The sequence below is a fragment of the Homo sapiens genome, chromosome 7 (assembly GCF_000001405.40).
Source record: "Homo sapiens chromosome 7, GRCh38.p14 Primary Assembly".
Classification (NCBI taxonomy): Eukaryota; Metazoa; Chordata; class Mammalia; order Primates; family Hominidae; genus Homo; species Homo sapiens.
In genome coordinates, this window is record NC_000007.14 from 106,646,748 (window position 1) to 106,673,528 (window position 26,781).

Below are 26,781 nucleotides of genomic sequence, written 5' to 3' on the forward strand. Positions count from 1 at the left end.
TTTCAGCAAGAAAAGGAATGAGGTATTGATACACACAACAAAAAAAACTTCAAAAGTGAAAAAGTGACATGTAAAAGGCATATATAGCATATTATTTTATTTATCTGATATTCTGGAAAATGAAAAACTATAGTTTTCTAGTGCTATGGTCTAAATGTTTGTGACTCTCCCAAATGCATATGTTGAAACCTAATCTCCAATGTGATATTAGGTGAGGCTTTTGGGAGATGATTAACTCATGAGGGTTCCATCCTCATGAATGGAATTTGTGCCCTTATATAAGAAACCCCAGAGAACTGGTTAGTCCCTTTTACCACGTAAGGACACAGAGAGACGGCACTGTCATGAGGAAAGGAGCCCTCCCCAGACACCAAATCTGCCAGTGCCTTGATCTTGGACTTCCCAACCTCCAGAACTGTGAGAAATAAATTTCTATTACTTATGAGTTACTTAGTCTAGGGAATTTTGTTACAGCAGCCCAAACGAACTAAGACAACCAGAGACTGGGAGTAAAGGGAAGATATTGACTACAGAGGTACATGAGGAAACTTTCTGGGGTGGTGGAAAGAGTCTATATCTTGATCATGGTTGTGGTTACACCACTGTATACATTTGTCAAAACTAATCGAAGTGTATACCTGAAAAGCAAGAATCTTACCATATGTAAATTGTACCTCAATAAACTTGAGTTTAAAAAATAAAACTGAGATATCTTCTATATTATTTTATATACTGTCTCTCTTTCTCACTTAACATCAGAGCACTAAATACACCATGAAAACATGACTTTAATGACTACATCAAATTTTACTGTGTGAGTATATGGTAACTCATTTAATTATTGTCCTGTTGTTGAACATTGTTTAGTTCCAATTTTTTAAACGTATATTCTCACATGAGCATCTTTGTATAGCAATTCAGTCTTTCACTACTGCACTGGAACAAATTCCAGACATGAGCCAAGGGTATGAGTGCTAGTGTAAGGTTTTGAAAATTTACTGCCAATTTTCTTCCCAGACAAGCTTACACACCTATCATTGGAAGAGCGGGTCTTTAATAAAAATCTTAAATATATCTTTTTTAAAGAACATGAAGCAATAACACAAATAGAGGTTTATTCAAATTACTCTGGGTTTGTAAGAAAACGAATAAATCTACAGAAAAGACAGTCTTCTGTGAAATTTCCAGAGGTCCTCTACAATCAGTTTTTTAATAACATTTTCCATTTAGAAGAGAGATTACTTTTTCCATTTATAATATATTGCTTTGCATAATGAAGAACAAATAGCAAAATAATTCATCAAAATCCTATTTACACATGTATTTTCAAGAACAACCATTTATTTCAACTAAGATGTCTCCCTTCTTTTAACCCTTTTAACCATTAGTGCCCACAACAAGTAAGATTGTTAGAATTTTCATAGGAATCTTTCAGTGTTACAAATTCTGTATTTCACAATAAAATCCTAAGCTCACAATATTTTTTCATGTGCTGATGCCATATTCAAGACACAATTTATGCTAATAGATGACTCTTCCTTATAATAGAAAAAAACCAACCTTATTGAGTTTCTAACAATGTCCCTACTCACACGTTAGCTCTGCTGCAACTAAGATAAACACATTGCTTACCTAACATTTTAACTATAAAGTAACCAAAATAGAACAATAACTCTTGACAAAGTTGAATTCAGTTTCAAAATGTCTTCACGGTGAGTAAATAAAATTTCCGAACCTGGGTCATGTGATCCTGGAATTCTGATCATCATCTTTCATTGCTGACTTTAAAGATAAATAATGTTTGTCTGAATAGCTCCATCTGAAGCCCTCTTTTCTCAATTATTTATACAGGCATGAATATTGATAGTACAGTTTCATGCAGAACTTTAACCACATCATGAAACTTCAGAACACAAGGAACCCTGATTTGCCCAAATCCTCACAGCATGTTGGCAGTCATAAGACTGTGAACTCAGGTTCTAAGCCTTGGGATCTTCAGGCTTGGCCCACTCCACCTCTCTCTCTGTTCTACCTTGGCTTGGGTAACACATTTGACTGTCCATGTCAGGTTTCTCCCGCCAGATTGCTCAGTCTGTTAAGTGAATTTGAATTACACCAGTGAAAGTTCTATTCCAAACCATCCTTAATATTCCACTACATCTTCCAGAGAGACCAAAGCCAACTTCTAAAATCAAAGAAATGTATTTAGGATTTTTTAACAATGTACACTTCTAGCACATCAATTTCTACACCTAATTTTATTATCTGTTATTTTTAGGACTTTTTTTTAAAGGAAAATGCCACATTTTGAATAGACAATCAGAATAAATAAGAGATCCCTCCACTGTGATCTTTTTTTCTCTCTCTCTATCACACATACACACACACACACACACACACACAGAGTTTCCCACAGACTGTTGGTGTACACACCACCAAGGAACCTACCCAACCAATGCCAAGGCCATAAATCTCCCCCAGTCAACTGTTGGGTTTTAGACAAAGCTAAGTCTTTCCTCTCAGGGCTGGAATGCCATGGACTGAGGACCATTCAGCTCAGACATTCTTAAGAAGGCCATCCCAGGCCAGGTGTGGTGGCTCACACCTGTAATCCCAGCACTTTGGGAGGCTGAGGCAGGTGGATCACTTGAGGTCAGGAATTTGAGACCAGTCTGACCAACATGGTGAAACCCCTTCTCTACTAAAAATACAAAATTAGCCTGGTGTGATGGTGCATGCCTGTAATCCCAGCTACTTGGGAGGCTAAGGCAGGAGAATCACTTGAACTCAGAAGGCAGAGGTTGGAGTGAGCCAAGATCACACCATTGCATTCGAGCCTGGGCAACGAGAGCAAAATTCCATCAGAGGAGAAGAAGAAGAAGAAAAAAAGAGGAGGAGAAGAAGGAGAAGAGGAAGAGAAGGAGAAGAGGAGGAGAAGGAGGAAGAGGAAGAAGAAGAAGGAAGGAAGGAAGGAAGGAAGGAAGGAAGGAAGGAAGGAAGGAAGGAAGGAAGGAAGGAAAGAAGAAGGAAGGAAGGCAGGCAGGGAGGGAGGGAGGGAGGGAGGGAGGGGGGACAACCATCCCAAAGCAAAATTGAAGGAGGCAGTGTATCCATCGGTCCACTCTCTACTCCTAGCATTTCTCTCTCCTTGTGTCTTCTCTCCTTCCAGGTCTCCAGGCCTCTTGTTCCCCTGCTGTCCCCAGTTCCAATTACCTGAGAAGCCTATCTCATGTTTGACTCCCACAGCAAAGCACTCTAAAAACGAAAGTCTGAGAAAAGCTAACCTTCCCAGCCAAATGAATCAGCAGAAGAAACACAGGACAGAGAACCAGATGATGTGGATTCTCTTTCCAGCTATCCCACTCACTAGCTGAGCAACACTGGGCAAACCCGTTGGCTCTCTGGACCACAGCAGTGAAAGGAATGAGGTGGGCTGGGTTGTTTCTGGAGATTGTACTGAGCCACACCTCTCATGGTCTAGAAAGGCTACACCTTAATTGGAATAAAGGGCCCTCCAGCATCAGGGAGTCAGTGAGTGATGGAGATACTTCAGGTGCAGTGGATGCAGCAGGTACTCCCTGGCAGCAGCTCCTCCTGCCATGCTCTTGAGAGCACACTATGGAGCCCTCAGCCGACTGTCAAGCTCCACACTCAGAGGCTCTGTAGCACAATCTGCATTTGTTCCCCAGGTTTGCATAGTTACCCCGAACTAATTTGTCTCTTGACCAAATACTTCAGCAAAAAGCCATTGAATGTTTATCAAACCCTTAGGACATACAATTTTGATGAGTCCCTTCTGGTTTATTTTGCTTTGTTTTAAATATCCAACTCGAGAGCAAACTAGATTTTCAACAACAAAAAAAGTTTGTTTCACCAAGATAATATACATATCCAGAAGTTCTTTCACTGTAGCCATCTGTATCCCCAGAGCATTAGATTCTACCCTATACATAATTAAAGAAGCAGGCATTCACCTGCCAGTGACAATGAAAAAGCAGCAGACCCACCTGGTGTAGTGGCTGTGGATACAGAACATAAGAAAGAATCACCTACCAGCCTGCAAGTGCCATGGGGCAGGGATTTTATCCGTAGAACAGATCCTGCACATACAGGCTGTCTTAGTCTTCTCAGGAAGTTATAACAAAATACCATACATTGGGTGGCCTAAACAACAGACGTTTATTTCCCACAGTTCTGGAAGTCTGAGATCAGAGCACTGGCATGGTCAGGCTCTGGTGAGGGCTGTCTTCCTGGTTTGCAGATGGCCGCCTTCTCACTGTGTTCTTACACAGCAGAGAGTGAGACAGCAGGCAAACTCTCGTGGCTCTTCTTTAAGGGCACTTATCCTATGATGAGGGGCCTACCCTCATGACCTCATCCAAACCTAAGTACTTCCCAAAGGCCCTGTCTCCAAATGCCATCACATTGGTGGTTAGGGCTATAACATGTAAATTTGGGGGCTATAGAATCCATTCCATAACAGAAGCCTTTAATAAAATTTTGTTGAGTTTCTCAATAAAACCATAGGTGGATAAATGAACTGAGAACAAGAAAGAGAGCAAAGTGTGACTGATATAAATCTACCTGTTCTATGGAATTATAAGGAAAAATACATGCTTTTAGCCAAACCAGCCATCAGATAAACATTACAGGGCAAGTTCTATTAGCGGTGTTTTTTTCTCATGATTGCAAAGGGCAGTCGATCCATCCTACAGCTATGAAATGCATGTAAATGGATACCATGTGCTGGGGGCAACAAGTTCTGGTACAAAGGAATGCAAGGGTCAATTTTCCACCTCTGTTAGAATGTTAACTTGCATTTAAAGACTCTAGGAGTCCCCCTCTTCCTGTGTCACCATCCCATTTACTCACACATGTCTTGTTTTTATTTGAGTATTTTTTTTTGGCCCTATGTCCATTATCCTGGGTTTTTTGTTTGTTTGTTCATGCTGTAGTTTATCTAAGTAAAACCTGGGAATTAGAACTTTATGAAGGTGTTTAGGAGGGAAAAGAGAATCAGAATGAACTCAGAACTTTGTCCACCTTGTCTCATAGTGGTCCACAGAGTAGATATCATAATAAATTGGAAGAAGTGTCTGTAATGGGAGCTGCAGAATTCCAAAACAGAGAGGCTCCAGGATGGCAACTGTGGGGAAGGAGGGCTTAAAGCTCTGTATGACTCCCCATGTTTAGATTTGTGAAGTCTACTTTTTATAGACTTTACAAGTAATTTGAGACAAATGTTATATTAAATAACCTTCTCTTTTACCTGCCTGTGGCAATTAGAAGAGGAGACATACAGAATGACTTTAGACCATACAGATTGCCACGAGATCCTCCACCAAACTAAACAATCTAATCACAGGAGCAAAGGAATTTGTGCTTTTGTTCATTCATTCATTCTTAGACTTATTCATTTCCCAGACATTGAGTGAACATCTATGCTGTACACCATGAGAAATGCAAAGGTGAACAAAACAGGGTTCCTAAATTGATTTTCCCCATCTTGGGATTTCACAGTCCTAGAGGAGATTCCTCCAGGGGCTGATTAATTTATTTCACTTCCTCTAAAAGTGTTTATAAAGATTAGTAGAGAAAATGAGATGAGACAGATGTGGTTTTAAATCCCAGCTCTGCCACTTAGATGTGTGATATTTGGCACATTTCTTAACCACTCTAAGCTTCAGTTTATTCATCTACTAAATATGAATGATAATATCTACCTCATAGGATTGTTGAGGTTTACTTTAAAAAAAAAAACAAGCATAAAGAGCCTGGGATAGTACCTGGTGCACAGTAGGAATTACATCAATGTTAGTTTGTGTCTTCTGTCAGTCCATGTTTTCCTGATTATTTTGCTATCAGCTTGTGCTGAGTCTTGTACATCACTGCACTCCTCACAACACCCGGCATCCTTTCGCACATACCACTTTTAGTGAATCGGACCTCAATCTCCCACATAAGTTTGGCTGTAATAGACATTTTATGGACTGCAGCCTTTCTTCTTTGCTTCTAACACATGCCAATATAAAAATTTCAAGTAAGCAAACTGAGGCTTTATAAAGTTTTTTACATTACTACTAATAAAAGCTAACATTTATTGACTTGAGGCAAACCATGTTCCAAGCACTATTCTAAAGTGTTTTACATGTGTTACCTCATTGAATTCTCACAAGAGCTCTATGAGGTAGGTGCTATATTGTGCCTGTTTTTACAGCTGAGTTTACTGAGGAACAGAGAGGTTAAGTAGCTTGCTAAAAGGTCTGCTGCCAGCAAGAAAGGGAGGAAGGAGTTTTAAACCAGGCAGCCTGTTCCCCGACGCCAGCCTCTTAACCACTGCACCACACTACCTCTTGCTGAGAGATCCTGAGATAGTGATGATAAGTGGTGTTGGGTTGCAGGTACAATAAGAGACATCAGAGTCTACAGCCAACTCATTTGGTCACAAAATACTAGGAATTCATCAAAAGTGTATTTGATAGGTTTCTGTAAAAAATCATAACTCCATTTACAGATTGCTTCTGTTACACATAAAACTGAAGCAACACAACTAGTTCTTCTGTAAGATTTGGGAGGCAGTGTTGCAGGTTTGTCTGAACTCCATAAACACAATTTATTCATTCAACACCACTGAGCACTATGCACAAGACCAGCAATGTTGTAATGATACAGAGACAAGAAAGACGAGTCCTGCCAATGAGAAATTCACTATCTAGGGAAGATGACAGAAATACATAAGAAAGTATAATAATAACAACATAACTGCCCAGTGTGAAGTACTGTGGACATGCAACGGTAAAATAAATATCCTCCAAGACGCTTTACTTAATAAGGAAAAGGAAGAACTTCCTTTTAGAGTTCTGGAGGCATCCTTCAAGTGGGCTCTCATGAGTACATTTTTCATTCATTTCACAACAATTGAGAGTTGAACCCTGCTGAGCCAGCACCTCCCAAGATAAAAGTCTCCTCTTCTCAGCTGACTTCAAGCAAACCTGAATATTCTGCACATCTTCAAACCCTCCCTCTCTGCCATCCAACTCCTAGACCTCTCAATGTCTAGCTTTCTAAAATAAACAACATATAAGGTTGAATCAGACAGTTCTTTCCAGAGACAGGGTCTCCATTACACTATAGATCATTTCAATGGAATCCTGCCCAAGGACTAGAAGAGGAACACTATGAACCCAAGTCTCAAATGCTCGGTTTTATGACAGTTTAAGTTTGCTGGGCTTGGGTTAACATAGTTAATGTTATTCCCAATCTTAGAGCTGGTTTTGTATAAAGGATGGAGAAGAAAACAACTTAATACATAAAAGACTTTTTTCTAAAGCTCTGCTGTAAAATATAGGAAAACATAGGGGGAAAATGTCTTTTCATTTCATTTTAAGAGCAGAAGGAACAAAACTTCTTTAGCTTTGAAGAAGAAAGGAAGAATAATAAAAAGCAAACTTTTTGAAGGCCAGTTTTATAAAAGTCCATGTATCCACTTTGGAAAACTGTTTGGCAGTATCTACCAAAGATGATCATTTGCTGTGACCCAGTGTCTCAGCAAATTCATTCCTAGATATATACTCCAAAAAAAAATACATGCATATGTTCACCAAAAGACATGTTTTAGAATATTCATCAAAGCTTTATTTATAATTGTTCCAAACTGGAATCTACCCAAATGCCCACCAAGACTGGAATAAATATATTGTGGAATATTCACACAGTGGAATTCTATACACCAATGAGAATAAATGATCTACAATAATAGTACACACAACAATATAAATGAATCTCACAAACATAATTTCAAGTGAAAGAAGCTAGACACATGACCAATAATTCCATTTATGTAAAGTTCAAAAATAAGCAAAAAATATGCTGTAAGAAATCAAAATAATGGTTATCTTGGGCAAGAAGGTGAGTAGGTAATGGCTGATGGGGTGTTAGGGAGGACTTCAGGGGTACTCATAACTGTATTTTTTTAATCTGAGTGCTAGTTCCATGAGCCTATTGAATTTATGAAAATTCATCAAACTGTACGTTTATATGTACTTTTTATACATTTGTTTTTGCTTCAATAATTTTTTTACTCTGTAAGATTTAGAACCCTAAGCCACACTCTTTTTTTTTCTGTACTCTTTAAAGAATATGTACTTGAAAAAAATCCTTGAAAAGAGAAATATGTACACATTTTACAGTTAATTGTACTACTTGGAAGAATCTCAATTTAACTTTTCTATGAATGCTTTCGGAAGCTAAATAAGTCCAGTTTTGGATTCAGTAGACTACTTATTCAAATTTTCTGGGCTAAACATAGTGTTTGGTGTTTTTATGATTATTACTTTCCAATTGGGCTTTAGATATGTTTATTATGTTATAGATCATGGTTTAGAATGACATTTACCAAGACACAAGAGAGTGATGACAGTGAGAAGTCATTACTTCTGTGAAATCTGCAATTAGGCTCAATTTTTAGCTTCTTGTTCTTGTATGACTTTCATCTAATAATTTTCCAGGAAATTATTTTGTGTCAACTTCAGATAACTGCAACTTTGGCTTGTTCACCAATTTAGAGGATGTTCTATTCTCTGTGCTATGAGGAATTAAACCTAAATTACAGGCTTTATATCTGACATCCAAAAATGAGTGTGTCAATGCTTCAAATACAAGATTTTTTTTACTTTCAGTAATAATTTTCTGGTGTTTCAAGCACAGCTATTGTACTCACTTTGTTTCCTTTAACACCTGAATTATAAACTTTATACAAACTATAGCTTGGTTCTATGCATATAAATTAACATCATTTATAAGCAACACTTACTGAGCTTACTCTAAGCAAATATGTAGTCCAAAACTTTTGTAAGTTCTTGGATCAACAGCTTTAAATCTATTACTGTTATAAATTCTCAGATAGTTTAAAACACATAACAGTACATTCAAATGTCTTATAGAGATATAACAAAAGAAGATGTGAATCTTTAAAAAAACTCCAACAACAAAAATTGTAATAAATCAACTTAATCCAATCTCCTACTGCATAGTCAGCAAGCTAAAAAATTATATGATTTCCTTATGTCTTCAATTTTATTCATGCACAAATTCTCTTCTCTTCATTTATCTTACAGCTTTCCCAGAGCCACACAATATTCTTGGGATGCTGAGAAACCTGGAGAGCTAAACTCACAACGGACCACTCTCAGCTTATATACCTATTCTCACTGTGCATACCTATAATTAAGAGCATTTATTTAGTACTTCCTATGTGTCTAGCATTACTACCCTTTGAAAGGGGTAGTTATTAATCCTTATAATATCCCAATAGTTTCTTTCACTAATCACATTTGATAGTTGAGGAAGCAAGGCACAAAGATTTTAAGTAACTTACCTACAGTCTCAACACTTGCAAGTCACAAAGGTATGCATAATAATTCCACCCCAGGCACTGTGACTCCACAACTATTACACTACGCTTCCTCCAACTAATAGGAACTTAGGTACAAAGACAAATTCAGCCCACACAGTACTATCTATGAATCCGGCTCTTGCTGTGCTGTTCACTAATACTCCACTTCTGCCTTCTAGACTCTAATGAAAATTCTAGCCCTGCCCTTATTCTGTGGAACAGCCCATACCACTGGTACTCAAATGGAGCACTCTTACTTCCTTTCATGCCATGAAAGAGCAAGAGCTTTAGACCTTTTGTCATCGTCACAGGGGCACCTCGGGTCAGGATTTAGAGAATTCTGAATTTTGATGCATTTTTTTTTTGTAGGATATTTTATTGCTGGCAAACTGGTTAATAAGTTGGGCTTGTAGCGCCATCCTAAAAATTCGCTAGATAATTAAAGAATTGATGGAACACAGACTCCCGAGATAGCACAAAAAACAAATCTCGAGATTTCTGGGAATTTGAAGTTCACAAAAAAGTCAAAATTTATCAAATTGTAAATTAAGATGTTTTCTGAGTCACATACAAATACAAAATACCATTTCAAAAATGTTCAAATCATTAGAAAAACTAGACACTATGTATTCTCTAAAATTTATTTACAGTTAATAAGTTAAAAAGCAAAGTACAAGCAGATTATAAATCTCAACCATAAGCACATCAAACTGTCCAGGGAAACACTTTGATTCCATTACAAACAATTGTTTTCTAATGCGCTTAAGACATAACACTCTATCAAAAAATATTTTAAACACACCAATAAATATTAGGCATGTATGTCCATTAAAAACCATTAAAGAGTCCTGTGGCAATCCTTAAAACAATGAAAAACTTTTGAGTTCAAAATTGCTCAGATATTTTGTATTCAAATATTTTTAAAATTTACTTAAGAGTTTTCTAAAAAATAGTACTATCATTTGCACACAGCAGATCAATAGGTGTCAGTCACCAGCTTAAGTTACACTTGTCAATATTCAAACTTGAATAAAATAAACACACATCACAACAGCGACACTTTGCACTATCAACAATGAAGCTTGCCCTCAACAATTATGACGTTACTGGTTTTAGTAACATAAAAATACATTGCTGGTTGACAGGAAGGATAAAAATGACATCAAGAATCTCAAAAAGTTATGTGAGGTGCCGGTCACCACATTTAGGCACTCAGGAATTAAAAATCAAATAAAAGCATAGCGAGGTGATGAATTTCCTCCTGGCTTCCCCCTCTACTTGTGCCATATGAGATAAAAGAGAAGGCAAGAGAATGAACGAAGATCATGAGATTTCTTTCAAAAACTATACACAAGCTAAGCTACAGACTTCACTTCAGAGGAGTAAGTGGATGCCTCATTATAAAGGCCACTATGCCAAGTTTCTTTTCACATTCTGTGACAAAGTACCCATGAAATACTTTCACTTTCCTATTAGTATACCAGTCAACTATATTAGATGTTGCTTCACATTTTAAAAGTTGTCACATAGGTTTTTACCAAAGGGCAAAAATAAAGATTTTTTACATCTTATTTCACAGACTAGAAATGGCATAATTTTTGAATAGTCCAGATGAATACCATATTGAATTCAAGATGGACAATCAGATCCAAAATGGAATCAGATAGCCCATGTAATCCAAAGAAGCATTTATGTGAGTTCAAGTATGCTAAAGTAACAAGGCATAGGAGAGAAAAATGTCAAGAATCTCAGTTAAAATAAATGAATGGTGTCAGTGGTTATGTTTCAGTGGTGTGCTGAGCAGTTATCCTCCCAGTTAAGCCAAATTTCAAAATCCTCTGGAAAACTATCTAGATAAGCTGTATGTCGAAATTGCATTCTAATATGGCCATTGGGTTTATTTTTCATTATTATAAAACTATATACAATAGTAAAGTTGTACAAATACATTTTTTCCAGGTGCTAGTTAGCTATAAAAGTTAACAATATATTTTTGGGAAGAAAACCCTATGCATCTGAAATACAATTGGCAATGGAAGCTAATAACCAAAAGATATGTCTAAGCTTCCTATCACAAATATAATTTAACACTCTCCATCTTCTAAGGAATTATTCATTTTTATTTACTCATGTGACAGTGTTTGTACAATGCATTATCATTGAGTAGTGAATAAAAGACTGAGGCTTACTAGAAAACTGGCATCAAGTTATATATATGTGTGTATATATATATCATATTATTTCTTTTAACAAGAACACTGAAATTGAAGTCACAACACTCCTATACGGACTACTAAACTTGAAATACTCATTTCAGAAAGCTATGCCATTTGAATTCTAGGAACGCAAGAGTCAAAATTGTAACTCTCATTATTCTCCTAAAAAGCTGCCAAGCAGAGATAAGCTTTAGTATTAAAGATTTCACATGTCAAGTTCCAGCCCAGTATGGATCGTTTCATGGCAGAATACTTAAATTTGAAATAATAGTGGTACAAAAACACTACTTGACCCTTTAGGTATTGCAGTAAAAGCTGGCTGTGGCACTGCTGGCTAAAAACTATTAAGTTTTCCTGCCACAAATGACCAAAGGCACTTGGATAATCAAGAATTCCACACTGGGCCATATGGTATAAACACTATAAAAGCGTAAAGAAGGGTCAGTATTCTGTGTGTCTCGCCTGTTTGATTCCTGTGGTCTTCAGCTGTCAAAGACCTAGAACTGCAAACATATAATGAGTGGCAAAAAGGTTAAAAAAAATGTTGGGACAAAAAAATCAACTAAAAATCAACTAATTTTCATTATGTTTGTAAAACTGATGAATATTAGTCTAGACATTTCTTGTTATCCAACAACAAAAACAAAAAGGAAATAGATTTCGCCCAAAGTAACCTTAACCAGTTATTTGATACCAAGAAATGCCTCCACCCCTCTTGATCATTAATAGTTCTAAGAATTCTAATGGGTATTCTGTTTATCATTTTAGTGATAATGTTTACACACATCCATCTCTCCTATGCAACTCCCATTTTAAAATACATTATCCTTGTAAAATACATTACAAGGATAATGTATTTTAAAATACTTTAACGCATAATATTCCTAGATTTGTATGTTAGACCAGGACAGGGGGCCAAATCATCTCCAGTCGGATTCCAGTGACTCCTGTAACCAAAACCAGTTCTTCACAATTTATTCATTTTTTTTAATCACACACCATATGGTTTCAATGCATTTTTTTATTCAATTCAAAAGAATTTAACAAGTTAACTTTTCCTAAACAAAAGTTTTCATGTGTATTCTACCATTTTTAGGAGCTCAGTAAATATAAACATTGTTTCAATACAAAACCTTTAAAAATACCTTGAAAATGTTTAAACAGTTGTATTTTGCATGTCTTTGTTTGTAATCACTGAGCCCATACAAATCCTTGCACTACTAACAGTCACAAGCTTGAACCTCTTAAAAAATATCCTCGATCAAAGCTTTGGAATCCAGTAAAAATTAGGAAACGAGTGGGCTTCAGAATACCCTGAGCACAAACTAGTGCAACACCACATGTTCGAACTTCTGTCCACAAAGAGGGGTGACAGTGAAATAGAAAAAGGGGGAGATAAAGAACAAGTAAATTCTGGCTTTATTACACAAGCACGAAACCAAATTCCTTTGGAAAAATAATGTCTTCGGAGGACTTCCAGACCAGTGAGGTAGAGTCCAACAGTGAGAAAACGGATCTGCCCCTAAGGTCCTGGAGACGTCTCAATCGGTGGTCAGGAAGAAAGGGACCTCCCCTGCGGGTCCAGCTGTCCCCTCCCTCCGCAGGCCGGGTACGGGAGGCAGCAGAGGGCACACCTGCCCCAGCGTCCAAGACGACCGCGCCGCGGCCCGGGACAGGGACAACCATCCGGCAACTTCTTCGCGCGTAAAGTGCATTGGGGGCCGGGGTCCTGGCCGGATCTGTAAACACTCGACTGACACTTGTTCATTCCTCCGGGCGGAAGGCCTGTCCCAAGGTCGGGGCCGGCAGGAGGCGCCCTGGAGGCCGCACCTCATGCCCGGGGCACCGGGAAGCGGCGGAGCCTCACCATGGGTTCCAGGTTCACTCGCAGGACCTGGCGCGCCCTGCGCCGCGCTGCCGCCAGGCTGCGCTCGCCCCACACGTCGCTGCCGACGCGGATGGTGGGGAAGGTGGTCAGCGTCGGGGTGGCCGCCCTCCAGATCTCCTCCAAGGTGCGGCCCCCGAAGCAGGGCCCGGGGGCCACGGGCTTGGCCGGGCAGCTCTCCTCGGGGGGCGGCGGCGGTGGGGGTGGCGGCCGGGGCTTCCTCCTGCGGGCAGCGGCCGCCCGGGCTCCGCGGCGCCTCCTCCTGGCCGCTGCGCGCGGAACCGGCCGGCGCGCCTGGCCGCGGGCTGTAGGGGGCCCCGGGGGGTCGGGTACCAGGGCCCGGCAGGAGGAGTAGCCGTAGACGTCCTTGCTGCGCAGGATGTGCGGGGAGAACTGGTGCTTGAGGCTGCAGAGGAAGCTCCAGAGCTCCGCGTCCGAGCTCATGAACTCCGTGCTGCGGGGCATGAAGAGCTTGAAGGCGTCGCCCAGCGCCTTGGTGCTGTCAGCCAGCGACAGTTGCGACCGCGAGTACACCACCTTCTCCTCCCGCGCCTCCAACCCAGCCCCGTCTTCTGCCCTAAAGTCGCCGCCCCGGGCGGCCGTGGCCGGGGCGACCGGGCGCCGGCGCCGCCGCCTCTTCATACTGCGCCGCATCGAAGGCCGCTCCGGGCCACTCACGCTCGCCGGGTCCCACTACTGCCGCCGCCGTCCCAGTCCGCGTTGGCTCCGCGGCGGCGGCTGCTGCTGGCGTCTCTCGCTACTTTTCTCGCCTCCGCCGCCGCCCCTCCCCCTCCGAGGGCGGAGGACGCGGGCGAATATCCTGCTGCCCGGTACAAGATGGCGGCCGGCGCCCACCCCTGGGCTTTGTCATTGGACGGCGCCTCGCCCCCCTGGTTTCTCTTTCTTCTCCTCTCTTGCCTCTTTTCGCCGGCTGCCTTTCTTTAAATGTGCCCGCCTCAGGCCCCTCCCACCGCAGCCCCGACTCCACCCATTGGGTGCTCTCAGAAGAGGGGCGGGGACTGATGGGGGAGAGGCCAGTTCCTGGAAGATGGTGCTGGGGTGGGTGATGGCCTTTGAACGTAAGTCAACGGTTGGGTGGATCTAGGAGGGCTGCCACGTCTAGAGTAAGAGGGTGGATGTTGGCTACACCATGGGAAGAGTGACTCTTAGAGTGAGGGGGTGTGCAGTTGTGGATTGAGCTGGGAGCTCTACCAGTGTGGATAACAAAGGGAGATTTCCCTGAAGGATGTTCCTGGTATCATCACAGCTAGGGAATTTGGGTTTAAGTCTAGGGGAAATGGGCCTTTCGCAATTCCCATCCACCCTCTCAAAGGCCTCTTCTGGCATCTTCATTCAAAACTCTTCCCTGTCTTGACCCCAGCCCATCTCAAGAAGCCAGTAGTAATCCAGAATCATTCAGGTAATGTGCGTGGCTGGCAGCTGAGAGATTTTAGTCTCCCTCTGGACACTGGAGCCATCTTCATATTTAAGAGAGACCCTGCTTATCCAGAAAGCAAAACATGTCATACCCTATAAAACTAAATACTCTTTGCTCAAGTTGATCAAAGATCTATTACAATAAAGCCATTCTGTGAAAAGAAAATATAGTTTTAAATACACAGTTCTTTATGGATGCCAATTCGTTTTTCATTTAGTTTTAAAATGTCAAAGCCACCCCTATCATTTAGAAAGGATGCATCATCGCAGACAACAGATAAGGTTTCGTTGAAAAACACAAATTGTTCAAAACACATTACCTTTTGTATTGGGAGGAGAGTAGTGGACATCCTTTAGTCATCTTTTCTGTCCTCTATACCTAACTCAGTTCCTGTCAGGTAGTGGACACTCAATGTGTTTGCCGAATGAATCAATGAAATACCACCGATTATCCCAAATAGAGTCAGAAATGTTGAAACTGCTTAGAACAGGACAATTAGATATTTTATATTGCAATTTTCACAGAACTCCTTTAAATTTCTTAAGGTTAAAAGAAAAAATCTCCTGACACTTAGAACTTTGAGGTGGGCATGTGGATTTTACCCAGGAAACATCTTATTTTGCAGTAGTGAACAAATAAAGTATAGGAGTTTTGTGATTTACATGTAGTTGCTAATGGTTTCCTCAAATATTTGACCTGAAAGAGACCTAGTTCATTCTCCTTATTTAACAGGTGAGGAAATCTGTACCATAGAGGTTCAGTAACACAGCTGGCTGATAGCAGAACTGGGATTCTAAATCCTTCGATTTCTAATCTAGTGATCTTTGTATTTCACTGAAGGTTTTTCAAACTGTGCTGTCCAGACTCTAAGGAATTCAATAGAACATGCTTTATGCATAAGTAGAATGACGAAGGACAGAGCTGTACCCCTATTCCTACTTCCACCCCACCCAGAATTGAGCAGTTTTTCTCTGTCTTATAATAGATTTATGAATAATATTTTGTTTGTTCAGTTTCAATAAAACCTAAAATAAATAATTTGAAAGCTCTACACCAGAGATGTCAAATTCTTGAAAGCTCTCACCACACAATGAGTTTATGGCAAAAATAAAACTCCACACAATGGGCTTATGGCAAAAATAAAACATCTAACCAGGAACCAGCTCTCTAGCAAAATCATGGTAACTTTCTGAATAGAAAATCATTTTCCTAGAAAAGCACACTCTGATCTCAGAACAAGATTACAGAGCCAAATACCAGCTTCCTAAATCCTTATAAAGGAATGATATAGCAACAACTCTTTACATCACAATTTGCTCTTTCCGTAATTCTGAGACACATAGTAAAGTGAAATTTGAATAATTTCCATTGGAATACCCAAAATCTAGAGTGAGCCATGAGAAAGTTAGGGGGGCTTCATAATGAAAAGCAAGGATAAAACAAGGATTAAAGTAGACCTGGCTTTTCATATTGGAATCCCCTCCCTTCCTTGATAATCATCATTTTATAAATTCTTCAGGGTCTTTACCACATAAATATATTCCAGACATTTACATAAATGTATAGAACTTATTTCAATTAAGAAGATAAACCTTTTTTAAACACAATTTTGGTTCTAAGAAAACATAAGATCTCAACTTGCCAAGTATTCAAGAGTTCATTTTATAATGCATGCTCATTTAATTTACTTAAAACCAAACAATATTTTTTATGAAATACTTTTAGGAACTAATATCATGATAAAGTGCTTATGTTATCGTATACATTTAAATTTGACATTATTTGCTCTATTCTGTTTCCTCTATTATTTTTAATTTTTTCTTGACCTCCACCTTTTAATTAACTCTAATAGTCTTGCAAATGGTTCCTTATCTGTTCTCCATAAATAAGCAAAATTTACACATAGAAATAATGTATCTCTTCTAGTTCCTGAGACTTGAGATACTATGAAGTTTATGGAAAGTTGGCAAATTAAATTTTTGCTCTTGAGTAACGATATTTTACAACCCTTAGTTTATTCCTTTACCTCTCAAGGGTAATAATGCCTCCTATGTCTGCTAAATAAGTGATGAATAATAATAAACAAAAAAAAGCTGTATGTATTTACTTTCTGTATTCAATATTTATGTAGTTAAAAAATAAATCCAAGCCGAATAAAGTGATGGGAAAAATTAAATAAAATGTATCTTTTAGCTACCCAGAAGTATTGCTTTAGAATCCAATTTCTATAAAATAATCTGCCTCTTGAAAAGTGGCCAAAAAAATTTTGAAAATCTATATAAGTGGTTGCAAACATCAGCTCTGGAATCAAATAAACTTGGGGTCAATTATATCTTTACAAAAAAATATTCTTAGACACATTTTTCACCTTTCTGAGTCTCAGCATTCTCATCTATAAAATGAGTATAACTTCTAACTTCAAAGTTTTAAGAACTGGACGAGAGAATATTCATAAAACACTTACTGTAGTGCCTGGAACACAGCATTCAATAAAAGCTATTCCTATTTGTCTTATTTATTTTTGAGGATTTTACTTGGTTTAATCAATATATTTTAAGCCCTGTATTACAGAATGTCTACATATTTTTTTAAAGTAGTGGCATTGATGAGAGGAAAATAAAAACTTTACAGCTAGAAGAAACTTAGAGATCATCTAATGAGTCCAACATTGTTAATTCAGATGAGAATTCTGAGATGCCAAGAGATCTGCCTAAGGTCACAGAGCTGTACAGTGGAAGATTCTGAGCTAGAACGTAGATCTCTAACTCTAGTTCAGAATTGTTTCTAACATTCTACATTTTGTACTTAACCAAGGAGATAGCATTAATTGCTGGCTTAAATGATGTTAAATATAGCATGATTCAGCAAGAAAAAACTCAGCCTTGTCATTAGACCTATTCTAAAAGTAATTTAGATTTTTATACAAAAGTTAGCTCAAACCCTGATATGCTCTGCAACGGCTTAATGTGAAAAACATAAAGACCATATAAACTGAGAGGATAGGACTTTCTTTTGCTTATAGGAATACCTGTACTTTCCCTATTTTTCCCGCTAATTGCAACTAAAAACCTTGGATGTTATATATAAAGTATACATAAGAAGACTCTGAAAAATGGAGAAGAGAAGGCAGACAGGCTGGAGACCTCAGAGAACCCAAAGAAGGGCATGGCAGTGAGTTCCCTGGGTCTCCTTTCTTCTTCTTTTCTCTTTTTCTAGCAAATCTGAGACTGGGTGCTAGACAAGCCAACAACCCCAAAATGCCAACAGATGCAAACATAAAAAGCCCCAACAAAATCTTCTTCTCTCTAGCTACAGGACCGGGAAAGGAGGGGCAGCCTAACAAAACGGAAAGCTTTTAGAAAATAATTTTCCTACTGCTGCAAAACACCATAGAAAAAAATTATGACTTCTACCCTTGCCAGGCTATAAAAAGGCACCCCCACCACCTCTGCTAGGGTGGTATGAGAGGAGGCTGGATAAGAAATCAGGACTTTAATCCTTGTTGGGCAGTAAACAGGCAATCTGTACCCATGGTGTCAGTGGAGACCATGTGGTGAATATAACAAGACAATCCTACCCACCTTCTCGGCCCTAGTGAGAAGCCAGAATTCCTACCCCCATTCAGCAGTAATGAGGGGCTCCTTTCCCCATTTCAGGTATCAGTGGAAACAGAGGAGAAATCTGGACTCTGACTTGGCAGTATTGAGGCAGTGCCCACCCCACCCCCATTAGGACAGTGTCAGAAAAACAGCTAAAACATTTAAATAAGATCCAGAGTTGTATAATGTAATACCCAAAACATTCAGGTTTCAATAAGAAATTACTTACCAGAAAGCTCTCAAACTGAATGAAGAAAGATTATCAGTAGATGCCAACATTGAGATGAGAAAGATGTTAGAATTATATAAAAAAGATTTTAAGCAGCCATCAAAAAATATTTCAATAAGCAATTATGAACACTCTTAAATGAAAAATACAAAGCTACTTCAAAGAAATAGAAAATCTCAGCAAAGAATCAAGAGATATAAAAAAGAACTAGATGAAAATTTTAGAAGTGAAAAAAAAATACAACCACCAACATAAAAAGCTCAGTGGATGGGCTCAACATTAGAATAGAGGACAGAGGAAATAATTGGTGAACTTGAAGATAGAATAATAGATATTATCCAACCTGAACAGAGAACTAATAGGCTGATTTTTTCAAAAGCCCTCAGGGGCCTCTGGGACTATAAGATCTAATATTTGTGTCATTAGAGATCTGGAAAGAGAGGAGAAAAAATATGAGGCTGGAAAAATTACTTAAAGAAAGAATGGCTGAAAATGTTCCAAATTTGCAAAAGACATAAATCCACAGATTCAAGAACAAACCCAAATAAGATTAACCCAAAGAAATCTACATCAAGGTACATCAAAGTCAGCTGGGCATGGTGCCTCAGGCCTATAATCCCAGCACTTTGGGAGGCCAAGGGGGGCAGATCACAAGGTCAGGAGATCGAGACCATCCTGGCTAACCCAGTGAAACCCCATCTCTACTAAAAATATAAAAAATTAGCCAGGCATGGTGGCAAGCGCCTGTAGTCCCAGCTACTCGGGAGGCTGAGGCAGGAGAATGGCATAAACCCAGGAGGTGGAGCTTGCAGTGAGCCAAGATGGTGCCACTGCACTCCAGCCTGGGCAACAGAGAGAGAGACTCTGTCTTAAAAAAAAAAAAAAAAAAAAAAAGAAACATCAAAGTCAAACTTCTGAAAACTAGAGATTGGATTAAGTTAAGTTTGTACTTAATCCAAGGAGATTAAGATCCAAGAAAAAATACTGAAAACAGCTAGATAAAAACAACAGTTTACTTACGAGAGAAAAGCAATTCAAATGACAGCAGATTTCTCATCAGAAACCATGGAGGCCAGAAGGAAGTGGCCTTTTTTCACATGCTGAAAGAAAAGAACTGTCAACTCAAATTCCTATATTGAGTGAAATAATCCTTTAAGAATGAAAAGAAGATCAAGACATTCTCACATGAAGGAAAACAGAGTATTTGTTGCCAGTGGACCTACGCTAAAGAATGACTAGCAGAAGTTCTCTAAATAGAAAGGAAACAATAAAAGAAGGATTCTTGGAATATTAGAATAGAAGAAAGAACATGGTAAGCAAAAACTTGGGTAAACAGAATAGACTTTCCTTCTCCTCTTTAGTTTTCAAAATTATGTTTGATGGTTGTTATGGACTGAATATTTGTGTCCTCCCAAAATTTATATCTTGAAGCCCTAATCCCCAGTGTGACTGTATTTGGAGATAGGGCCTATGAGGAGGTGATAAAGGTTAAATAAAGGTCATAAGAGTAGGACCCTAATCCAGAAGGGCTGGTGCTCTTATAAGAAAAGAAAGATGTCAGAGGTCTCTCCTTTGCCACTATATGAGGATACAGTAAGAAGGCAGCCATCTGCAAGCCAAGAAGAGAGCCTTCACAGGGAACCAAATTGGTTGGCACCTTGATCTTAGATTTCCCCATGTCTGGAACTATGAGAAAATAAATTTCTATTTTTTAAGCCACACAGTCTGTGATATTTTATTATGGCAGCCCAAGCAGACCAATCCAATGGTTGAAGTGAAAATTAGTAACACTGATGTGGCTCTGTATGTATGTAGACAAAATATTTTAAACAAATATGTTAAGAGTCAGGATAAACAGACATAAAGAAAGATAAGGTTTCTATATTTCACTAGAATTGGTAAAAACGACACCAGTAGTCTGGGATAAGTTATGTATATACAGTTAATCCTTGAACAATGTGGGGATTAGAAGCACTGACTCCCTATGCAGTTGAAAATCCAAGTTTAACTTTTGATTCCCTAAAATTTTAACTACTAACAGCCTAACTGTTGACTAGAAACCTTACCAATAACATAAAGAGTTGATTAACAATATTTTGCATAAATACTATATACTGTATTCTTACAGTAAAGCAAACTAAAGAAAAGAAAATGTTATTAAGAAAATCATGTGGCCTGTAATCCCAGCACTTTGGGAGGCCAAGGCAGGCGGATCACAAGGTCAGGAGATCGAGACCATCCTGGCTAACACAGTGAAACCCCATCACTACTAAAAAAAAAAAAAAATACAAAAAATTAGCCAGGCGTGGTGGTGGGCGCCTGTAGTCCCAGCTACTCATGAGGCTGAGGCAGGAGAATGGTGTGAACCCAGGAGGCAGAGCTTGCTGTGAGCCGAGATCGCGCCACTGCACTCCAGCCTGGGCAACAGGGCAAAACTGCGTCTCAAAAAAAAAAAAAAAAAAGAAAATCATGTGGAAGAGTCATCATATTCATTAATCACTATTAATCACATCACTATTCATTAAGTGGAAGTGGGTCATCATAAAGGTCTTCTTCCTCTTCATCTTCATCTTCACATTGAGTAGGCTGAGGAAGAAGAGGAAGAAGAGGGATTGGTCTTGCTGTCTCAAGGTGGCAGAGGTGAAAAGAGGTGGAGAGGGTGGTACGGAAAACAGGAAAGGCAGGCACGCTTGTAACTTTAATTTAAAAAAATCCATATAGAAGTGGACTCTCACAGTTCAAATCTGTGTTGTTCAAGGGTCAACTGTATAGTGTAACACCTAGAGCAACCACTGAAAAAGCTATAGAAGGATATGTTCAAAAACATTACAGATAAATCAAAATAGAATTCTAAAAAAAGTTTAATGCACGGAAAGAAAAAAATAGAGAAATGCAAAACAGAATAAAGGGAAAACAAACCAAAAGGATTAGGCTATAACATAATATTTTGTATCAGTGCTTATTTATTAGTGATTGATCAGAAATTGCCCAAATTGGAAATGGACCAAGAAATTGGCCAGACCTGAAATTAGCTAGGCCTGATATTAACCAAAATCCTAAGGAACAAAGGGAAAAAGGTTTCTTTTCACGTTTAGTCCAAAACCTAGTTCTGTTTTCTTTTACCCATTGCCCTGTCTCCTAGAACTTCATAGAACCAATCTCCAAAAGTAAATTTTAGATTATGTCAAAACTGCAATGTAAGAAATTTCTTTATATTGTTAACTCATATTAAATTTAAAGCCAACTAGAAACCATTTTTTCCCATATGAATTACTGCAAAATTAAGTGTGCCCTGAACTATACTGTACTTGGAGCAGGGTCTCCAACTTTTTTGGCACCAGGGACCAGTTTTGTGGAAGACATTTTTTCCACGGACACCTCAGATCATTAGACATTAGTTAGATTCTCATAAGGAGCATGGAACCCAGATCCCTTTGCATGTGCAGTTCACAATAGCGATCATGCTCCTATGAGAACCTAATGCCACTGCTGATCTGACAGGAGGCAGAGCTCAGAGAGTAATGCTTGCTCACCTGCTGCTCACTTCCTGCTGTGCAGACTGGCTCCTAACAAGTCATAGACTGGTACCAGTCCACGGCCCATGGGTCGGCAACCCCTGACTTAGATGACTTTACATTTATCTCTGTTAAATTTCATTTTGTTGATTTCAGTACAACATTCCTACCTACTGTGGTACTCTTGGATCTAAATTCTATAATATCTGATTTTGATTAATCCTTTTAGTAAATTAGACCAGCATCCTTCCACCTTAAACCAAGTCACCAATGGCACTACCGGTTGGAACAGACTCAATGACAAAGACCTGTGTCACTCTACTGGAGACTTGATCATACTGACACACACCCATCTGTAAGCACTTTTTGCTTACGGTTGGCTCACTAGCCTCAAGACTTTTGTTATTATCACCCAGATCACAATTTATTATCCAGGAAGATATTAAAAGAAACATTGTCAAATTTTGTTGAAATCAAAATATGCTGTGTCTATGAGTTTTCCCCTAACCTACTAAACCTGATAAACCTATTAAAAATAAAATGAAGTCATCCCATAATTTTTTATAAGGTCTCAGACTATTTGATATCAACAGTGGACCACACTTGTACTCTCCTCTCTCTTAATAATTTTGGAGCTCCACTCTAATTACATGCAAAAATAATTAGCCAGTTTGACACTATTAGTATCAGATTAGAAGAATATTAACATATTAAACCATAAACATGGAAAAAAGATCTAAGTACTATAATTAAACAAGAGTCGACAAATTCATATTATTACTTTAAAAACAATATGATGCTTTTAGACACATAAGTAGGATGCATAAGTAGGCGTATAAAATTCCAGAATCATAAAATAATCTTAAAAAATTTTTTACTCAATACCACCCAGATTAAACCCCTAAAACACAATCCTGTCCCTTTAGTGCTCAGAAATCCTGAGTGGATCTACTTTGCCTACCAAATTGAGAACAAACTCTGTAAGCTGCTATTCAAAAGCCTTCAAATTATGACACTATCCAGCTTTTAGGACCCATTTATGCCTAGGCCAGAGCAAAACTTCCCACCAAACTTTACCTCAACATGTTCCTAGAATGCCTATTAATTCAGTCATTCAAATAACTTATTGAGAATCTGCTATAGCTGGAAAGCTGGGACTAAACTGTGAGCAAATTGTGTCAGGAATTTGCTTCATGATGCTTATAGACTAGTATATTAGTTACCACAAACTTGGTGGCTTAAAACAACACAAATTTATCATTTTGCCATCATTCTTGAGGTCAGAAGTTCAATATTTTTTTTGAGACAAGGTCTTACTCTGTCTCCCAGGTTGGAGGGCAGGGCACCATCTCGGCTCATTACATCCCTGTCTCCCCAGGCTTAGGTGATCCTCCCACCTAAGCCTCCTGAGTAGCTGGGATTACAGGCATGCACCATACTCAGCTAATTTTTAAAATTTTTTAGAGATGAGGGCTCATTATATAGCCCAGCTTGGTCTCAAATTCCTTGGCTCAAGCCATCCTCCCACCTTGGCCTCCCAAGGTGTTGGGATCATAGGCATGAGCCACCATGCCCAGCCTTAATGTAGATCTTACTGGGCTAAAACGAAGATGTCAGCAGGGCTGTGTTCTTTTCTGGAGGTTGAAGAGGTGAATCTGTTTCTTCACATGTCCCAGTTTCTAGAGACCACCCACATTCCATGGCTCATGGCTTCCTTCCTCCATCTTGAAAGCTAGCAATGTTAAATCTCTCTGACCATCCTTGAATAGTCACATCTCCCTCTGACTCTCCTCTTCTGCTTCCTTCTTGCATTTTTAGAGACCCTTGTGATTGGATTGGGCCTATCAGACAATCCAAGATAATCTATTATAAGTTCAGCTCATTAGCAACCTCAATTCCATCTGAAACCTTAATTCCCCTTTTTCATGTAACTTAATATATTTGCATGTTTCAGGAATTAAGATATGAACATCTCTGGGGCACCATTTTTCTGTCTACAGAGCTATAGGTTTAACTAGGAATCATACAGGTGTAACATATGTGAATACTCATATTCTATGTCAGACTCTGTGCTCCATACTTCACATGGATTACTTCATGTAATCTCACAGCAGTCCCTTGAGGTAAGTACTATTCTATATGCCCCACTTTACAGCTGGGCACACAGAGACTATTCTTTCCCCTTTCCAAATTTTACCCATCCTTTGAGGCTCAACAAAGCCATTGGTCCCTATATGTTCTCTTCCTTCTGTGAAGGCTGTGGCATTTTCATTTTCATTTCTCTTACAGCACACTTCCCCACCCACCCACACCCTCACCTTACCCTCACCCCTAGAAGAACCACTGTTACTGGCGGGGATGGGTTGTATCTCTCAATTCTGTTAGAGAAGAAGAATAATTGTGAATCATCTAGATTATAAATTCCCTCACAGTAATGCTGTGTTCTATTCATCTTTTTACTTGTAATTGCATGTAGCAATAATACCTTAGTATTTTCTCTGAAGGTAGTACACTAAAGTTTAAAGAATACTTTATCTGATGTGATCTTCAAAGAGCCAGATGAGGGAAACAAGAAAAAATATTCTCATTTTATGGATGAGCTTCAGGTGAAGCTAAGTAAGGTGCTCCAGTTGCTAATTGACATGCTCCAGTAAAGTGATAAAGCTGAATCCTGAATCACAGTTTTCTGATTCAAAGAGCAGCACTCGCCCCATTTATAAAAGGAGGTTGACTGGGTGGTTCCAAGATGGCTGAATAGGAACAGCTCCAGTCTGCAGCTCCCAGCATGATCGATGCAGAAGACGGGTGATTTCTGCATTTCCAACTGAGCTACCTGGTTCATCTCATTGGGACTGGTTGGACAGTGGGTGCAGCCCGTGGAAGGTGAGCCAAAGCAGGGTGGGGCATTGCCCCACCCGGGAAGCACAGAGGGTCGGGGGATTTCCCTTTCCTAGCCAAGGGAAGCCATGACAGATTGTACCTGGAAAAATGGGACACTTCTGCCCAAATATTGGGCTTTTCCCAAGGTCTTCGCAAGCGGCAGACAAGGAGATTCTCTCCCATGCCTGGCTTAGCGGGTCCCACACCCATGGAGCCTTGCTCACTGCTAGTGCAGCAGTCTGAGATCAAACTGCGAGGCGGCAGCCTGGCTGGGGGAGGGGCGTCCACCACTGCTGAGGCTTGACCAGGTAAACAAAGTGACCAGGAAGCTTGAACTGGGTGGAGCCCACCACAGCTCAGCAAGGCCTACTGCCTCTAGAGACTCCACCTCTGTGGGCAGGGCATAGCTGAACAAAAGACAGCAGGCAACTTCTGCAGACTTAAACGTCCCTGTCTGACAGCTCTGAAGAGAGCAGTCATTCTCCCAGCATGGCATTTGAGCTCTGAGAACAGACAGACTGCCTCCTCAAGTGGGTCCCTAACCCCTATGTAGCCTAACTGGGAGATACATCCCAGTAGGGGCCAACTGACACCTCATACAGATAGGTGCCCTTCTGAGACAAAGCTTGCAGAGGAAGGATCGGGCAGCAATATTTGCTGTTCTGCAATATTTGCTGTTCTGCAGCCTCCACTGGTGATATCCGGACAAACAAGGTCTGGAGTGGACCTCCAGCAAACTCCAACAGACCTGCAGATGAGGGACCTGACTGTTAGAAGGAAAACTAACAAACAGAAAGGAATGGCATCAACATCAACAAAAAGGACATCCACGCCAAAACCCCATCTGCAGGTCACCAACATTAAAGACCAAAGGTAGATAAAGCCACAAAGATGGGGAGAAACCGGAGCAGGAAAAGCTGAAAATTCTAAAAATCAGAGCGCCTCTTCTCCTACAAATAGAGAATGACTTTCATGAGTTGACAGAAGTAGGCTTCCGAAGGTCGGTAATAACAAACTTCTCCAAGGTAAAGGAGCGTGGTCTAACCCATCACAAGGAAGCAAAAAACCTTGAAAAAAGGTTAGACGTATGGCTAACTAGACTAAACAGTGTAGAGAAGACCTTAAATGACCTGATGGAGCTGAAAACCATGGCATGAGAACTTCATGACACATGCACAAGCTTCAATAGCCAATTGCCAATTCGATCAAGTAAAAGAAAGGGTATCAGTGATTGAAGATCAAATGAATGAAATGAAGTGAGAAGACAAGGTTAGAGAAAAAAGAGTAAAAAGAAATGAACAAAGCCCCCAAATAATATGGGACTATGTGAAAAGTCCAAATCTACGTTTCACTGGTGTCCCTGAAAGTGATGGGGGGAATGGAACCAAGTTGGAAAACACTCTGCAGGATATTATTATCCAGGAGAACTTCCCCAACCTAGCAAGGCAAGCCAACATTAAATTCAGGAAATACAGAGAACACCACAAAGATACTCCTTGAGAAGCACAACCTCAAGACACATAATTGTCAGATTCACCAAGGTTGATATGAAGGAAAAAATGCTAAGGGCAGCCAGAGAGAAAGGTCGTGTTACCCACAAGAGGAAGCCAATCAGACTAACAGCA

General features: G+C 39.6%; 1 protein-coding gene across 1 annotated transcript, besides 3 other annotated features; it reads right to left on the minus strand.

Moving 5' to 3' along the window:
• Nucleotides 7,613-14,411, minus strand: CCDC71L (coiled-coil domain containing 71 like). Its single transcript, NM_175884.6, has one exon. The coding sequence runs from the start codon at nt 14,147-14,149 to the stop codon at nt 13,442-13,444; it is 708 nt and encodes a 235-aa protein (NP_787080.2). The 5' UTR covers nt 14,150-14,411; the 3' UTR covers nt 7,613-13,441.
• Nucleotides 13,185-13,234: an enhancer, noted in NCBI's record as "active region_26487". NCBI's record gives its function as "activates an Ori minimal core promoter by ATAC-STARR-seq in GM12878 lymphoblastoid cells {active_cell/tissue: GM12878}" and the evidence as "EXISTENCE:reporter gene assay evidence [ECO:0000049][PMID:35858748]".
• Nucleotides 13,585-13,854: a silencer, noted in NCBI's record as "silent region_18535". NCBI's record gives its function as "represses an Ori minimal core promoter by ATAC-STARR-seq in GM12878 lymphoblastoid cells {active_cell/tissue: GM12878}" and the evidence as "EXISTENCE:reporter gene assay evidence [ECO:0000049][PMID:35858748]".
• Nucleotides 25,522-25,722: a silencer, noted in NCBI's record as "peak6673 fragment used in MPRA reporter construct". NCBI's record gives its function as "represses an SCP1 promoter by STARR-seq MPRAs in K562 erythroleukemia cells {active_cell/tissue: K562}" and the evidence as "EXISTENCE:reporter gene assay evidence [ECO:0000049][PMID:32103011]".

Excerpts from the sequence above, each read along its gene's own strand:
- CCDC71L (NM_175884.6), bottom strand. The coding sequence starts at position 14,149 with ATGCGGCGCAGTATGAAGAGGCGGCGGCGCCGGCGCCCGGTCGCCCCG.